General features: G+C 42.6%; 1 protein-coding gene across 15 annotated transcripts in view, besides 1 other annotated feature; it reads left to right on the forward strand.

The window, feature by feature from the left end:
• Window positions 1–18,707, forward strand: part of FAM120B (family with sequence similarity 120 member B) — a 116,365-nt gene that overhangs the window by 47,954 nt on the left and 49,704 nt on the right. For 9 of the 15 annotated variants that reach the window (XR_002956306.2, XR_007059342.1, NM_001286379.2 and 6 more), the window contains one exon: window positions 9,495–9,667. The exons of the other annotated variants lie outside the window; for them this stretch is intronic. Coding sequence is in view for 7 of the 9 variants with exons in the window: in NM_001286379.2 (NP_001273308.1) it covers window positions 9,495–9,667 (173 nt within the window). In the remaining 2 variants the exon portion in view is untranslated. The remainder of the gene's footprint in view (window positions 1–9,494; window positions 9,668–18,707) is intronic. 15 annotated transcript variants of the gene reach the window in all.
• Window positions 17,024–17,554: an enhancer, noted in NCBI's record as "NANOG hESC enhancer chr6:170664768-170665298 (GRCh37/hg19 assembly coordinates)". NCBI's record gives its function as "activates a minimal SCP1, AML or CMV promoter by ChIP-STARR-seq in naive H9 embryonic stem cells {active_cell/tissue: H9 hESC(naive)}" and the evidence as "EXISTENCE:reporter gene assay evidence [ECO:0000049][PMID:30033119]".

The raw sequence follows: 18,707 nt of genomic DNA on the forward strand, positions 1-18,707 counted from the left end.
GTCTCTTTGTAGGTCTGTAAGAGCTTGTTTTATGAATCTGGGTGATCCTGTATTGGGTGCATATATATTTAGGATAGCTACCTCTTCTTGTTGCATTGATCCCTTTACCATTATGTAATACCGCTTTGTCTTTTTTGATCTTTGTTGGATTAAAGTGTGTAGTATTAGAGACTAGCATTGCAACCTGCTTTTTTTTTTTTTTTTTTTTGCTTTCCATTTGGTAAATATTCCGCCATCCCTTTATTTTAAGCCTATGTGTGTCTTTGCACATGAAATGGGTCTCCTGAATACAGCACACCAATAGGTCTTGACTCGTTATCCAAATTGCCAGTCTGTGTCTTTTAATTGGGGCATTTTGCCCATTTACATTTAAGGTTAATATTGTTATGTGTCATCATGATGCTAGCTGGTTATTTTGCACATTAGTTGATGCAGTTTCTTCATAGTGTCAATGGTCTTTATTTTTTGGTGTGTTTTTGCAGTGGCTGGTACCAGTTTTTTCTTTCCTTATTTAGTGCTTCCTTCAGGAGCTCTTGTAAGGCAGGCCTGGTGGTAACAAAATCCCTCAGCATTTGCTTGTCTGTAAAGGATTTTATTTCTCCTTTACTTGTGAAACTTATTTGGCTGGATATGAAATTCTGAGTTGATTTGCAGAAGAATTTTCTTTATAAAATTGAAGTTTTAAGGGATGTCAGTGTTTTTGCCATTTTTCCAGTTCCAAAATGATTCCATTCCATTCTAGAAATTTGAAGTATGTAACTTGAAATCCTTAATAAAATTTGGATTCAATTTAAAAAAAAAAGAGGGAAAGAAATTCTGAGTTGAAAATTCTTTTCTTTAAGAATGTCGGGGCCAGGCGGGGTGGCTCATGCCTGTAATCCCAGCACTTTGGGAGGCCGGATCATGAAGTTGGGAGATTGAGACCATCCTGGCTAATATGGTGAAACCTTGTCTCTACTAAAAATACAAAAAAGTAGCCAGGCATTGTGGCACGCACCTGTAATCCCAGCTACTTGGGAGGCTGAGGCAGGAGAATCACTTGAGCCTGGGAGGCAGAGGTTGCAGTGAGCTGAGATCATGCCACTGCACTCCAGCCTGGATGACAGAGCGAGACTCCATCTCAAAAAAAAAAAAAAAAAAAGAATGTTGGACATTGGCCCCCCACTCTTTTGCGGCTTGTAGGGTTTCTGCAGAGAGATCTGCTGTTAGTCTGATGGGCTTCCCTTTGTAGGTAACCTGACCTTTCTCTCTGGCTGCCCTTAACATTTTTTCCTTCATTTCAACCTTGGAGAATCTGACAATTAGGTGTCTTAGGGTTGCTCTTCTCAAGGAGTATCTTATTGGTATTCTCTGTATTTACTGAATTTGAATGTTGGTCTATCTTGTTAGGTTGGGGAAGTTCTCCTGGATAATATCCTAAAGTGTGTTTTCCAACCTGGTTCCATTCTCCCCATCTCTTTCCGGTACACCAGTCCATCGTAGGTTTGGTCTTTTCACATAGTCCCATATTTCTTGGAGGCTTTGTTCGTTCCTTTTCATTCTTTTTTCTCTAATCTTGTCGTCATGCCTTATTTCAATATGTTGATCTTCAATCTGTGATATCCTTTCTAACACTTGATTGATTTGGCTATTGATACTTGTGTGTGCTTCACGAAGTTCTCGTGCTGTGTTTTTCAGCTCCATCGGGTTATTTATGTTCTTCTCTGAACTGGTTATTCCAGTTAGCAGTTCCTGTAAGTGTTTATCAAGGTTCTTAGCTTCCTTGCATTGGGTTAGAACATGCTCCTTTAGCTCAGAGGAGTTTGTTATTACCCATCTTCTGAAGCCTAGTTCTGTCAGTTCATGAAACTCATTCTCTCTGTCCAGTTTTGTGCCCTTGCTGGAGAGGAGTTGCGATCATTTAGAGAAGAGGCATTCTGGTTTTTGTAATTTTCAGCATTTTTGCGCTGGTTTTTCCTCATCTTCGTGGATTCATCTATCTTTGATCTATAAGGCTGATGACCTTTGGATGGGGTTTTTGTGTAGGTGTCCTTTTTGTTAATGTTGATGCTGTTACTTTGTTTGTTAGTTTTTCTTCCAACTGGCCTCTCTTCTGCAGGTCTGCTGCAGTTTGCTGGAGGTCCACTCTATACCCTGTTTGCCTGGTATCACCAGCGGAGGCTGCAGAACAGCAAATATTGCTGCCTGCTCCTTCCTGTGGAAGCTTCCTCCTAAAGGGGCACTGACCAGATGCCAGCCAGAGCTCTCCTGTATGAGGTGTCTGTCAACCCCTGCTGGGAGGTCTCTCCCAGTCAGGAGGCACGGGGATGAGGGACCCATTGAGGAAGCAGTCTGTCCCTCAGCAGAGCTGGAGTGCTGTGCTGGGAGAAACCTCCTTGCCAGGATCCGCTGCTGCTCTCTGCAGAGCCGTCAGGCAGGAACGTTTAAGTCCACTGAAGCTGCACCCACAGCAGCCCCCTTCCCCCAGGTGCTCTGTCCCAGGGAGATGGGAGTTTTATCTATAAGCCCCTGACTGGGGCTGCTGCCTTTCAGAGATGCCCTACCCAGTGAGGAGGAATCTAGAGAGGTAGTCTGGCCACAACCACTTTGCCGCACTGTGGTGAGTTCCGCCCAGTCCAAACTTCCTGGCCTCCCAGCACTGTTGGGAAAACCGCCTACCAATCCTCAGTAATGGCAGACGCCCCTCCCCCCACCAAGCTCGATCGTCCCAGGTCGACTTCAGACTGCTGTGCTGGCAGTGAGAATTTCAAGCCAGTGGTCCTTAGCTTGCTGGGCTCCATGAGAATGGGACCCGCTGAGTGAGACCACTTGGCTCCCTGGCTTCAGCCCCCTTTCCAGGGGAGTGACAGTTCTGTCTCGCAGGGATTCCAGGCACTACTGGGGTACAAAAAAAAACTCCTGCAGCTAGCTCGGTGTCTGCCCAAACAGCTGCCCAGTTTTGTGCTTGAAACCCAGGGCCCTGGTGGTGTAGACACACAAGGGAATCTTCTGATCTGCGGATTGCAAAAACTGTGGGAAAAGCATAGTATCTGGGCTGGATAGCACCATCCCTCATGGCTTCCCTTGGCTGGGGGAGAGCAGTCCCCAGCTCCTTGCACTTCCTGGGTGAGGCAACACCCCACCCTGCTTCTGGTCACCCTCCATGGGCTGAACCAATGCCTAACCAGTCCCATTGAGATGAACCAGGTACCTCAGTTGGAAATGCAGAAATCACCAGCCTTCTGCGTTGGAATTGCTGGGAGCTGCAGACCAGAGCTGTTCTTACTTGGCCATCTTGCCAGATCTCCAGTATTTTCAGTTCATGGATTGATTACGATCATAGCCATGACATGATCACAAGGTCCCACAATAGGCCGTCTGCAGGCTGAGGAGCAAGGAGAGCCAGTCCAAGTCCCAAAACTGAAGACCTTGGAGTCCAGTGTTTGAGGGCAGGAAGCATCCAGCATGGGAGAAGGATGTAGGCTGGGAGGCCAAGCCCGTGTCTCCAGTTTTCTGAGTTTTTTTGGTTTGGTTGTTTTTTGTTTTTTGTTTTTTTTCCTTTTGGCCAGGAATGATCTACCAACAGATAATGCTAAATAAATACTCACTTAAATTGAACTTGTGAATTTAAGCTTTCACAAATGATCTGAGCTAAAAGATATATGCAAGTTAATTCTAGGAGTTTCACTTCTTACATCCTGAGAATAGACACAAGCCAGGCAGTTTTACGTTTTTATTAACCCTAGGAATATGTAAGGAAAATAACCTTAAAATAACTCAAAAACCTACCTATTAAAAAACTTATTTCCATGTAAAAAGCACATGTAAGTGCCATGGCTTAGCGTCCAGCATGCCTTTCACTCTTCTGTGTTTGTAGCTGTGGAAACAGCAATGGGGCACTCAGGAGGTGCGTTCACAACTCTCCCCCAGGGGCCAAGTCCTCCAGACACCTCTCAGGACAGCCTTCAGAGCTTCCCACCATAGAACTGCCTCCTTTGCCTGCGCTTCTGCATGGCCCCCTGGGGCTCGGTCCCTCCTGAAAAGACCCTGAGGCTGTCCTGTCCATCTGTTCACACAAAACCTTTTACCAAATTGTGTACCGGGGTTTTTGAAGCTGATGCGTTTTAGAAGTGATGCTGGTGGGTGACCTGGGGACCAGATTGCTTGTTTTGTCTCTAAGTTCTTGTTGGAAACATCTCAGCTGCCCATGAGGCTCTGGGTGAAACATGAGGGCCACCTTCGATCTTTATTGGCAAAGTCTTATCTTTATTCAAGACCTAGATGACTGGATGGGTGTGGATGGAGTCCTCTTACACACCAGATAAAGTTTGAGTTGCCCTCCCCTGAGTTGGTCTGCCTTCCAATTCTGATGCAAGTACATTTCCTTTAAACTGAAATTACTTATTAACAATTCTCTTGCATCGCAACCCTCCTGAGTTATCACACCTGAGTTAGCCATTCTTTTTAGAGAGTGTACCACTAGAAGAGAAGTGATCTAAATGATCCTCCAAAAACATCCACACCCTCCCCTGGATAAGATGATTCCTGGAAACCTGTCAGCTAAGAAATAAACCTGTGTATGGCTAGGAGGAGCTAACATTTTACCGCATTTATGAAAAGAAGTAACTTTGTAATTAAAGCCTTTTTGTAGAGTGGTCAGAGGACTTCCACATATTCTGAGGATGTTCCGTTGTGGTAGTAGCATTAAAAGACAAAAACCTTGGAGTATATTATCTTCCATTAAATACCTGCAAGTTCTGGAGAGAGCTATGGAGGTATCTTATCTCCTAAATTAGTATTCACATAGGCATTCAATAAATATTTCTTGGCAAAATATTGATTGAATTTAGGATGAAAATTTTTTATATTAAAAAGATTTATCAGGACATTTTTCCTACTCTGGTGATTTTCTATAATCTATTATATCATTAGAACTCCTCAAGAGCCAATTCCTTTATTGTTGGTGAGTTACTTGTTTTCTGTGTGTAAATGATTTTGTAGCCTTTTTGTTGAAACTCAGCAGCTGAATCACCTGGCTGGTGTGTTAAAACACAAATTGCTGGGCCCTACCCCTAGAATTTCTAATTGAGTAAGTCTAGGGTGGGACTGAAGAATTTGCATTTCTGAGTTCCCAGATGATACTAAGGCTGTTGGTCTAATAAAAGATGTGGGAGAGAGAAAAATAAAACCTGTTGATTCCATAAGTTGTTTACCAGCTTTGTTCACTAGTATGTCACTTACGTGTCACGGCCTCTGAAGACTGAGAACCGATGAAATCGTTCAGTCCATTTGCTGGCACTGTTGCCTGCGGTGCTAGCCTCTCTCTGGTTCCTGAGCAGCCCCACCTTGGAAGAACGGATGAAATCGTTCAGTCCATTCACCTGCACCGTTGCCTGCGGTGCTAGCCTCTCACTGGTTCCTGAGCAGCCCCACCTTGGAAGAACGGATGAAATCGTTCAGTCCATTCACCTGCACCGTTGCCTGCGGTGCTAGCCTCTCACTCGTTCCTGAGCAGCCCCACCTTGGAAGAACGGATGAAATCGTTCAGTCCATTCACCTGCACCGTTGCCTGCGGTGCTAGCCTCTCTCTGGTTCCTGAGCAGCCCCACCTTGGAAGAACGGATGAAATCGTTCAGTCCATTCACCTGCACCGTTGCCTGCGGTGCTAGCCTCTCACTGGTTCCTGAGTAGACCCACCTTGGAAGAACGGATGAAATCGTTCAGTCCATTCACCTGCACCGTTGCCTGCGGTGCTAGCCTCTCTCTGGTTCCTGAGCAGCCCCACCTTGGAAGAACGGATGAAATCGTTCAGTCCATTCACCTGCACCGTTGCCTGCGGTGCTAGCCTCTCACTGGTTCCTGAGCAGCCCCACCTTGGAAGAACGGATGAAATCGTTCAGTCCATTCACCTGCACCGTTGCCTGCGGTGCTAGCCTCTCTCTGGTTCCTGAGCAGCCCCACCTTGGAATCCCACTGTCTATTGCAGTGGATGTCCCCGCCACCACCTGGGCAAGTCCGTAGATCTGGAGTCCCAGTCACCTCAGCATGCTTCCCCTAATCGTTGCGTGGATCCATTCCCTCACCTCTTTGCCTGCCTCTTGTTTTTCCCTTTACATTCCCCCAGTCAGCTTCCCACTGCTGCCAGAGTCCTCCTGCATAGCAGACTTGATGCTGGTCTTCCTTAGGGCTTCCCTCCAGTGTGCTCCTATTGCACTTGGGACATTTCCCTTCCCTGAACTTCCCCTTTTCTTCTCTCGTCTTTGTTCATTTCTACCCCCTCTTCAAATCTCAGCTCAAGTCTCTTCCTCACAATGTCTCTGCCCTGCAGCAGCAGTCCTCTGCCCTACGCTTTGTAGTTGGACACGAGTGTATTTGGTTAGTTTCAGTGTGCTCCACTGATTGTAAATGTTCCCCGGGGGCAGACAGTGAGTCATTTCCCTGTGTCAGCACCTCCTGTGGTGCCTGGCATGTGATTGGTTGGATGCTTGGGTAGAGGTCAGGAAGGCTGGAAGGCTTTTATCACTGTCCATTGTTGCCTCCTTTCAATCCCAGAATAAGTTTTGTTTATAAGTGTCCTTTATCCAGCAAAGTCCAGCCCAATGTTCCCACCAGTCTCTTCCATGAAAATTTATTAATGCCCTGCCCCAATTTGTTTGTTACTCTCTTTGACCTTCAGAACTCTAACAGGCTGGGCACGGTGACTCATGCCTATAATCCCAGCTCTTTGGGAGGCCTAGGTGGGAGGACCACTTGAGGCCAGGTGTTCAAGACCAGCCTGGGCAACATAGCAAGACACTGTCTCCAAAAAAAGGGAAAGAACTCCTGTCATAAAACCTTCGCACTCTTGTAATATTTGCACAGCCTTCTCCTGCAAGCTCTTCCAAGGTAGCTAGCAGCTGTTCATCTTTCATGTGGGGCCACTCAGGTGCAGAGCACCTAGAATTGTATGTATCAGTGCATATGAATGGAGCTTCAGTTCTCAGCCTTCATAGAAACTTTTGTGACAGTATGGTAGGAAAAATGTTGGTAAACAATTGATGGATCTTGTGTTTCTTCCTTCCTGTCTTGTTTATTAGACAGATACCTGGAAATCTCTTCCTTGGATGTCTAAGCCCATCTCATGGAGTCTGAACCTGTAGGGAGTGAGTAAGAGATCACAAGTTCCTAGTTATGTATTCAGGAAGTCTCTCATTGATCATTTCCACTAGACAGCCCTGCATTGCTTAACCACAGTGATCAGTTCTGAGAAATGCGCAGCTAGGTGATTCTCTCATGAGAACATCATAGAATGTACTTGCACAAACCTAAATTGTGTGGCCTGTGTCTCCCAGGCTGCAAACCTGTGAAGCGTGTGGCTGCCGAATACTGTAGGCAGCTGTAACAGTGGCAAGCATTTGTGTATGTAAACATTCCTAAACATAGAAAAGGTAGAGTAAAAATATGGTATTGTGATCTTACGGGACCACCATTATATGTGAGATCTATCGATGACCAAAATGTTGTTATGTGGCGCATGGCTGTACTGGGTTCTACTAAATATATGTAATGAATCTTTTTTTTTTTGTATTAAATTTTCATGTGTAAGCAATGAAACACAGGTAAAATCTTTCCACTGTCCATCTCCCTGCACGCTGATGGGGACATGACCTTTCAGCCATGTTCATAAATGTCTTATTCACATTAAAAAAGGACTGGAAACTTGTATTTCAGAATATGGTTATATCTGGGTGGTAGAATTGTACATTGTTTTTATTTTCTTCTTTATACTTTCCTGTCTGAATTGTAGTCAAAAAATGATTTTCAAAATCGTTAGTATATTTGAAATAACTGTGATAATAGAAGATTCATTACTTACCTTAGATCCGAGACTAGTAAACTTATTCTGTGAAGGGTAATGTAGAAAATATTTCAGGCTTTGCAGGCCACATGGTCTCTGTTACTTAGGTTGGTCATTAAAGCCTGGAAGGAACCGTGGACGATACCCACGTGTGTATACATGGTCCAGTAAAGCCCAGCCTCAGTTGCTGTAATTGGAATTTTGTGTGGTTTTCCTGCATCATGAAATATCATTTTTACTTTGGTTTTTTTTTTTCAACCACTTAAAAATATGAAAGCCCTTCTTAGTTCATGGGGTGCATAAAAACAGGCAGGAGCTGGGTTTGTCCCGAGACTGCACACGTTGCCTGAGTTGGTTATTTTCCTGAAAGTATGTTTCTAAGAAGTAATTACTGACACTTGTGGTTGTCTTGGACTCATCTCTATCTTAAGTACTACTGCCATAGGGTTGTTTTGTTTTTGCTAATTATCCTTAGCATTTTCTTAAGAGAAAAATATGTTTTTTCTCTCTCCAAAATAAATAATGAAAAAGCTTTTCAGGTGGAGGGAATACTTCAGCCATTTTGGAAATGTAAGTGAGTTTTGTTGAGTTGTTTCACTTCTGATGGCGGGAAATATACCACTGAGAGTAGTCAGTGCTATCGTGGGAAACATAAGAAAAGAAAGAGAAGAATTTCCTTTTTTGGGTCATTTGGACTCTGAGGCCGTTTGGTTAGTAGGTTCTGTTTCCTTAGTAAACAAAAGGGACATTTAGATCCCAGCCAGCCTTGAGCTTTTGGCATGTATTTTATAGCCAAGTGGTCCTCACAGAAAATCACAGCTGTGGATAGCAAGGGAGGACATCTCAGCAGTCACAGATTAACAAGTCTGACCTTAGAAACAGCACCTTTCTGTTTGTCAGAGTGTGGAAGCAGAGCTGCACCTGCATCTGCAACTCAGTGTGAGTCGTCATCATTTGTCGTGGTTTCAGTCAATGAGTAAGGGTGTTTTTCTTTTGATTTTAATAGTTTAAACATCTATATAAAATATAGAAGTGAAACACTAAAAATTACATTTTAGGAATTTCTGTGTATTTAATAGTTTTAGGAAAGTGCTTTCCAAAGCCTGGGGTCCACAGATTGCCTGCATCCAAGTCTTCTGAGTTGTTAAAATGCAGACTTCCAGGCACCCATACCTGTCTAATCAAATCAGAGTTTCTGCATATAGATCCCAGGAAAATGCATTTTTTTTTACAATCTCTGCAGTTGATTCTTTTGCACATGAAAGGTTGAAAACCATTAATTTAAGAGAGTAAGAGAGCAAACTAAGGGGTAGATGGATGGTGTTTTATCCAAGTGCTCCATCAGCTGTGATACTGCAGGGCGGCAGTGCCTTGTTATATCCTTGAGACAGCGCATTTGAAAGATGTTCTGAAAGCATTCTTAATGGTCGAAAGTGCAGTATCCCTCAAAATTTAGCCATTAAAAAAAGAAGGAATGTTTTCATTGAAACGTACGTATGCCAGCCCTTTAGGTTTGGGCTTTTTAAAGAAAATCACTAATCTGATCATGTTTACTTTCTAGTTCCTTTTACATCAGGAAGGGAAGAGATTTGTTTCCTTTTACTGTATTTCTACAAGGAGCATATTATAACTCTGTGCTGCAAAGAACAATAGTTAATGGACTTTTTTTCTTAACTAGGGGGAACGCCTAGTTTGAAAATATTATGGCTGAACCAAGAGCCAGAAATACAGGTTCGGCGCTTGGACACACTCCTAGCCTGTTTCAATCTTTCCTCCTCAAGAGAAGAGCTGCAGGCTGTCGAAAGCCCATTTCAAGCTTTGTGCTGCCTCTTGATCTACCTCTTTGTCCAGGTAATGTCCAGCTGCCCGTTCTAGTCACTGCAGCCTGCGCTTACTTTATGAGAGGGAGCATGTGGGATATTGCCATGGCTGGTGTCCCGGATTGTCTTTTTCCAATGTCTGTTCCATGGAACATTATTAGTCCTTTGAAGTGCTCTAAAAATAAAAAGAAGATTGTATGGCAAAATACGTACAAGAAACTCTGTCACTACCTCAGCTTTAGAGATTGTATTAGAGACTTAGGAAATCTTGCAGGTGGTGGAAGCTGCTCTGGCCTTGACTAAACTTTCTCAAACTTTGTGGACCATAGTGTACCTCCTCTGTCCTCGTGGCATTGTTTAGGTGGTGGTTCTTGTTTCTGGGTTTTAGTGTAAAGGTGAGAAAGGACCTGGCTAGAGACCTAGCTTCTCGTAGCTCTTTGCCTCTGGACAGACTACTTCAGCTTTTTCCTATGTCAGTTTCATTCCATCATCCAGCAAATGTTTATTGATTATATGCCTTCATTTTCTAATCTGAAAATGAAATAATCTTAGTAGCTGCCTCCTAGGGCTGTTGGGGCGATTTCAGGTGTCATAACCTTCATTATTTAGGTCCTCCCATCCTGCTGAGCTAGAGATTGTAGTGGTAGATCCTTCATTTAGGCTCACTCGACAAGGTGGACTGTTTCTTTTGCATTAGCTTTATATGTAGTTTATATGTGAAAATCATAAAAATCAGTTAAAAGATTCACCTTTTTAATAGTTTTCTACATGCACAATAGTGCTTGGACACCTTTAGTAAAAGAAAGGCTGAGAATGCTCCCATCTCCCAGCCCCTCTTTCTCTGCTTTGCTCCTCCCCACCTCCCTCCCTGGCTCTGTGATTTAAGATGATTTTTGTCCCACTGTTGACAAAGTGTCTACTTCTTCAGGCTGTTGAGATGTCTCATAAGCTTTCTTCACTCCTTCAAGCCATCGTCTCAGCTTCTCTGACCTCCCTATATGGTGGGTCTCCATTGGCATAGCCTTTCAGTGTTCACTTACCTGGAATAGACAATTATATAATTATTTTTTCAAACCTGAATTTACTTTACAAATTATTGATTGTCTTTAAGAAATGTACTCTTATTGTAGAAATACATCTCAAGGGAATCTTGGACTGATTTTTTCTTTCTAAATGTCCTCTTGGGTCTGCCCATTCTATAGCTTGCTCTACCTTTTGCATTTTGTAAGATGTGATATGGTTAAGTAGTGCTTAGAGGATTTATTGCTTCATTATTGGTTTCACATGCACCAATGTAAACCTTGGTTTTTGCATTACCATTTTGAGTAGATTACTTCTTTATTTGCTCAAGACGTAGCAGATTATAAATTAATGTAGGATGGCAGGAACTATTTAAAATGTAGATGTAAAAAGAGAGGAGATGAATCCAAGAGGCTGATTAGAAGCAGCTGCGGTCCGTGGCACTCACAGAGAGGAATGAAAAGGGGCAAGTGAATTCAGCACCTTCAACTGAAATACTCAGATTTTCACATTGGGACTGAGTAGGCAAACAACACAACCCACAGAGAACAAAGTAAACTAGGGGTGGAGGGCAGTGCCCCACCTGGGAACAGTATGGAGCCAAAGGAACCCCCACCCCCAGCCAGGGGAAGCCGTGAGTGATTGTGTGACCCTGCCTGGGAAACCATGCTTCTCCCATGGATCTTTGCAACCCATGTATCAGATCCCTTCATGAGCCCATACCACCACAGCCTTGAGTCTGATACACAGAGCTGTTTGGAGTCTCAGCAGAGCAGCTGCTCAGGCATACACAGAGACCCAAGAGTTTTACATACTCCGGCTCTGGGATCCCTGGCAAGACAAGAAATCTGTCTGTACATATCCCTAGGAAAGGGGCTGAATCCAAGGAGCCAAACGGCATCATTCTGCAGGCTGCACTTCCATGGCACCTCACAATTTAAGACCCTCTGGCTTGGAATCCCAGCCGGCCAATGGCAGTGAATTAGAGTCCTCCTTAGAAGGGTCCAAGTTCCCAGGAAGAGGGACGGCCACAGTTCAGTCAACTTACCTGCTTCAGCCTGCCAGCTTTGGAGAACACAGGCAGTCCGGATGAGGGAGGGTCCCCCATCTCCAGTGCAGCACATTGGCTCTACCAAAAAGCAGCCAGATCCCTGATCCTGTTCCTCCTGACTGGGTGAGTCCTCCCAGTAGGGGTCTCCAGCCACCTCCTACAGGTGGGTGTGGGCCAGCAACAGGTCAGTAACCACTAGGACAGAGCTTCCAGAGGAAGGAGCTGGCTGCCATCTTTGCTGTTTCACAGTATTCACTGGTAGTACCTCTAGGTATGGGAGAAACTGAGGCAACTGGCATCTGGAGTAGACCGCCAGCAAATGGCAACAGCCCTACAGTAGAATGGCCTGTTAAAAGAAAAACAGAAAACAACAACATCAACAAAAAAGACCCCACCAAAACCTCATTCAAAGGTTATGGATAGGGTTAGAGATCTCAAAGATCAAAGATAGATAAGCCTACAAACATGAGAAAGAATCAATGCAAACATGCTGAAAACTGAAAAAGCCAGAGCGCCTTTTCTCCTCCACGACTGCAACACCTCTCCAGCAAGGACACAGAACTGGGCTGAGGCTAAAATGCCTAAATCGACAGAAGTAGGCTTCAGAAGGTGGGTAATAATGAACTTCGCGGAGCTAAAGGAGCATGTTGTAATTCAATGCAAAGAAGCTAAGAAATATGTTAAAACTACAGCAGCTGATAGCCATAATAGTCAGTTTAAAGAGCAACATAACCAACTTGATGGAGCTGAAAAACACAGCATAAGAAATTCACAGAACTTCACAGTGCAATTACAAGTGTCAATAGCAGAATAGACCAAACGGAGGAATCTCAGAGCTCGAAGACTATCTTTCTGAATTAAGATAGGCAGACAAGAATAGAGACAAAAGAATTAAAAGGAATGAACAAAACCTCCAAGAAGTATGAGATTATGTGAAGAGACCAAACTTATGACTGATTGGGGTACCTGAAAGAGATGGGGAGAACGGAACCAAGTTGGAAAACATACTTTAGGATATCATTCAGGAGAACTTCCTCAACCTAGCAAGATAGGCCAACATTCCAATTCAGGAAATACAAAGAACCCCAGTAAGATAGTGTATGAGAAGATCAACCCCAAGACACATAATCATCAGATTCTCCAGGTTGAAATGAAAGAAAAAATGTTAAGGGCAGCCAGAGAGAAAGGCCAGGTCACCTACAAAGGGAAACCCATCAGACTAACAGCAGACCTCTCAGCAGAAACCCTACAAGCCAGAAGAGATTGAGTGCCAATACTCAACATTCTTAAGAATTTCCAACCCAGAATTTTATATCCAACCAAACTAACTTCATAAGCAAAGGAGAAATAAGATCCTTTTCAGACAAGCAAATGCTTAGGGAATTTGTCACCAACAGGCTTGCCTTGCAAGAGCTCTTGAAGGAAGCATTAAATATGGAAAGCCAAAACTATTACCAGCCACTACAAAAACACACTGAAGTACACAGACCAGTGATACTGTGAAGCAACCACATAAACAAGCCTGCAAAATAACCAACTAGCATCATGATGACAGGATCAAATTCACACAGAACAATAGTAACCCTAAACGTAAATGGGCTAAATGCCCCAGTTAAAAGGCACAAAATGGCAAGCTGGATAAAGAGCCATGACCCATCCATATGCTGTCTTCAAGAGACCCATCTCATGTGCAGAGACACACATGGGCTCAAAATAAAGGGTTGGAAGAAAATTTACCAAGCAAATGGAAAACAGAAAAAAGCAGAGGTTGCAATCCTAGTTTCTGACAAAACAGACTTTAAACCAACAAAGATTTAAAAAAGACAAGAGTATTACATAATGGTAGAGGATTCAATTTAACAAGAAGAGCTAACTATCCTATGTATGTATGCACCCAGTACAGGAGCACCCAGACTCGCAAAGCAAGTTCTTAGAGACCCACAAAGAGACTCCCACACAATAATAGTGGGAGACTTTAACACCCAACTGACAAATATTAGATCATCAAGACAGAAAATTAATAAAGACATTCATGACCTGAACTCAGCTCTGGATCACTTGGACCTGATAGATAGCCACAGAATTCTCCACCCAAATTCAACATAATATACATTCTTCTCATTGCTGCTCGGCACTTACTCTAAAATGGATCACATAATCGGAAGTAAAACACATCTCAGCAAATGCAGAAGAGCTGAAATCATAACAAACAGTCTCTTAGACCACAGAGCAGTCATATTTGAACTCAAGATTAAGAAATTCACTCAAAACCACACAACTACATGGAAATTGAACAACCTGCCCCTGAATGACTCTTGGTTAAATAATGAAATTAATGAGAACAAAGAGACTACTTACCAGAATCTCTGGGCTGCAGCTAAAGCAATGTTAAGAGGGAAATTTATAGCACTAAATGCTGGAAAGATCTCAAGTTAACAACCTGACATCTCTACTAAAAGAACTAGAGAACCAAGAGCAAAAGAAAACCCCAAAGCTAGCAGAGCACAAGAAATAACCAAGATCAGAGCTGAACTGAAGGAGATAGAGACACAAAAAACCTTTTAAAAAAAAATCAATGAATCCAGGAGCTGTTTTTTTTTAAATTAATAGACCACTAGCTACACTAATAAAGAAGAGAGAAGAATCAAATAAATACAATCAGAAATGATAAGGGGGTTATCACCACTCACCTCACAGAAATATAAGCAACCATCAGAGAATACTGTAAACACCTCTGTGCACATAAACTAGAAAATCTAGATGACATTGATAAATTCCTGCACACATATGCCTTCTTGAGACTGAACCAGGAAGAAATTGAATCCCTGAATAGACCAATTGAATCCCTGAGTAGACCAATAATGAGTTCTGAAATTAAGGCAATAATAAATAGCTTACCAAACAAACAAAAAAAAATCCAGAACCAGATGGATTCACAGCTGAATTCTACCAGAGGTACAAAGAAGAGCTGGCACCATTTCTACTGAAACTGTTCCAAAATATTGAAAAGGAAGGACTCCTTTCTAACTTGTTCTATGAGTCCAGCATCATCCTGATACCAAAACCTGGTAGACATAGAACAAAGAAAGAAAACTTCAGGCCAATATCCTTGATGAACATTGATGCAAAAATCCTCACTAAAATACTGGCAAACCAAATCCAGCAGCAGATCAAAAAGCTTATCCACCATGATCTAGTTGACTTTATCCGTGGGAACTAACTTCAGCAAAGTCTCGGGATATAAAATCGCCAGTATTCCTATACACCAACAACAGGAAAGCAAATCACAAATAAACTCCCATTCACAATTGCTACAAAAAGAATAAAATACCTAGTAATACAGCTAACAAGGGAAGTGAAGGACCTCTTCAAGGAGAACTAAAAACTACTGCTCAAAGAAATCAGAGAGGACACAAACAAATGGAGAACCATTCCATGCTCATGGATAGGAAGAATCGACATTGTGAAAATGGCCATATGGCCCAAAGTAATTTATAGATTCAATGCTATTCCCATTAAACTACCATTGACATTCCTCACAGAATTAGAAAAAACTATTTTAAAATGCATACAGAACCAAAAAAGAGCCTGAATAGCCAAGACAATCCTAAGCAAAAAGGGCAAAGCTGGAGGCATCATGCTACCCAACTTCAAACTATTCTACAAGGCTACCATAACCAAAACAGCATGGTACCCATACAAGAACAGAAACATAGAACAATGGAACAGAATAGAGAACTCAGAAATAAGACCACACATCTACAACCATCTGATCTTTGACAAACTTGACAAAAATAAGCAATAGGGAAAGACTCCCTCTTTAATTAATGGTGCTGGGATAACTGGCTGAGCCATATACAGAAAATTGAAACTGGATCCCTTCATTACACTATATACAAAAATTAACTCAAGATGGATTAAAGACTTAAATGTAAACCCAAAAATATAAAAACCCTAGAAGAAAATCTAGGCAATACCATTCAGAACATAGGCATGGGTAAAGACTTCATGATGAAAACACCAAAAGCAATTGCAACAAAAGCAAAAATTGACAAATGGGATCTAATTAAAGAGCTTCTGCACAACAAAATAAACTATCATCAGAGTAAACAACCTACAGAATGGGAGAAAATTTTTACTATGTATTCATCTGACAGAGGTCTAATATCCAGAGTCTACAAAGAACTTAAACAGATTTACAAGAAAAAAAGCAAAAAAACAATCCCATTAAAAAGTGGGCAAAAGACATGAACAGACACTTCTCAAAAGAGGACATATAGCCGGGCGCGGTGGCTGATGCCTGTAATCCCAGCACTTTGGGAGGCTGAGGCAGGCAGATCACGATGTCAGGAGATCAAGACCATCCTGGCTAACACGGTGAAACCCCGTCTCTACAAAAAAAAAGAAAAAAAAAAATTAGCCAGGAGTGATGGCAGGCACCTGTAATCCCAGCTACTTGGGAGGCTGAGGCAGGAGAATGGTGTGAACCCGGGAGGTGGAGCTTGCAGTGAGCCGAGATCGTGCCACTGCACTCCAGCCTGGGCAATAGAGTGAGACTCTATCTCAAAAAAACAAAAAGGACATATATGCAGCCAACAAACATATGAAGAAAAGTTCAACATCATTGATCACTAGAGAAATGCAAATCAAAACCACCATGAGATACTATCTCATGCCAATCAGAATGGCTATTATTAAAAAGTCAACAAATGGTGGCGAGGTTGCAGAGAAACAGGAACACTTTTACACTGTTGGTTGGAGTGTAAATTAGTTCAACAATTGTGGAAGACAGTGTTGTGATTCCTCAGAGACCTAGAGGAGAAATACTATTTGACCCAGCAATCCCATTATTGAATCTACCCAAAGGAATAGAAATCATTCTATTGTAAAGATACATGCATGAGTATGTTCACTGCAGCACTATTCACAATAGCAAAGACATTGAATCAACCTAAATGCATATCAGTGATAGACTGAGTAAAGAAAATGTGGTACATATACACCATGGAATACTATGCAGCCATAAAAAGGAACTACATCATGTCCTTTGCAGGGACATGGATGGAGTTGGAGGTCATTATCCTCAGCAAACAAACACAGGAACAGAAAACCAAATATTGCATGTTCTCACTTATAAGGGGGAGCTGAATGATGAGAACACAGGGTCACATAGCAGGGAACAACACACACTGGGGACTGTGAGGGGGTCGGGGAGGGGGAAGGAGAGCATCAGGAAGAATCGCTAATGGATGCTGGGCTTGATACCTAGGTGATGAGATGATCTGTGCAGTAACCCATCATGGCACGTGTTTACCTATGTAACAAGCCTGCACATCCTGCATATGTACCCCCAAACTTAAACTTTGGAGGAAAAAAATGTAAAAAGATATTTCTTTTGATATTATATGTTAAATATGCATGTATGCACTATTGGTTAATATTTTCTATTTTCTAATAATCTACAGGTGTCTGTAGTTAACGTTGAGTCATAGTGGGACTTGAGAAGTGGTGCATAGCCAGTAAGCTGACTTTTCCCACCCATAAAAATACATGTGTTTTGTTCTTGATACTATGTGTGTGCACAACAATGGGAAGGCCATTGTCAGCCCCCCAGGAGGGACACACCGCCTGCTGTTCCATATGAACGATGCTTGCTGATCCTGTGTGTGGTCACGCAGCGCAGTTCTACCTTCCCATCCCTGTGCAGGTGACTGTCAGTTCTTTAAATTCACTTCAAGCAGAAAAAGCCCAGGACCCCAGAACAGTAACATCACATCCCTGTTTATATAAGCCTGAAGCAAGACAAGCGTCAGGAAGAAAATTTCCACTTTACCTTTTTTCTATTAATAAAGACCTTTTAAGTAAAATCTCTGTAGTGCAAGTTGGCATGAGCAGACTTGGTAACTTGTCTTTAAAGGAGAGGTTTAAATTGGAACTTTTAAAAACTAGAAAACAACAGATTGATAAATCAATTTTGTATTCGCTAGATGAAGAAGGTGCTGTATTATTCCCAGGGATAATAACTCTCAGAATTAATCAGGCTAAAAAGATACATTTATAAAAATATTACAGTTTTATATATTAAGCCTAAATTCGATGTTTTGATGTGTAATATGGGATAAAATAACATACTGTTCAGTGCATGAAAATGACAGAGAAACTAAATACAGTTGTGTCTTGGTATATGTGAGGGATTGGTCCCAGGACCCCCAAGGATGCCAAAATCCATGCATCCTCAAGTCCTGCGGTCAGCCTGTGGAGCCCACAGATTTGAAAAGCTGGCCCTTTATATTCGGGTTTTACATCCCATGAACATTGTATTTTTCCATCTGCATTTGGTTGAAAAAAAATCCACATATAAGTGAACCCATGCAATTCAAACCTGTATTGTCAGGGGTCAACTGTACTCTCATTTGGTCTGACCTCCCAGTTAACAACAGCCACAAATGATTTTATTAGAGACTCATCTGAGAATATCCTCTGGAAAGGTAAGTTTACATCATAGAAATGCATATATTTTATATTCCTTTTATTCCAAAGTAATACCTACTTGGAATAAAAGTGGACTAGGATAGTGACATGGTGAGTAAGAGCATTGGCAGGTCCAAGCAGCAGTCAGCACCCCCACCCTGGTGGAAGCAAATGCCGCCATCCTCCAGGGGAGCACAGGAGTCTTTCTGATTTATGGTGGGGTTGTTTTTATTGCAAATAGGCATGTTAGCCATTTTTAATATCCAAGAAGAATCAGTGAAGTTGTTATTCATGGGTCTGCTGTTGGCTTTCTGTTTCTTTTTCCGCGAGCCTTTACTTGCCGCAGAAGGTGCTCTTCTGAGAGAAGCAGCTCTTGCGGCCTTAGGATGCTGTGGAGTCGTTCAGTCAGCGGGCACGTCCTGCCTTTATCTGGGTAGCTGAACGCGGTGGCTGGGAGAGGAATGTCTCTACCTCCTCACAGTGTGGGGCAGGGGAAGGGGTGGCACCGTCTGCTCTTGATGGGGTCTGG

Source organism: Homo sapiens, chromosome 6 (genome assembly GCF_000001405.40).
Source record: "Homo sapiens chromosome 6, GRCh38.p14 Primary Assembly".
In the NCBI taxonomy this organism is placed as follows: Eukaryota; Metazoa; Chordata; class Mammalia; order Primates; family Hominidae; genus Homo; species Homo sapiens.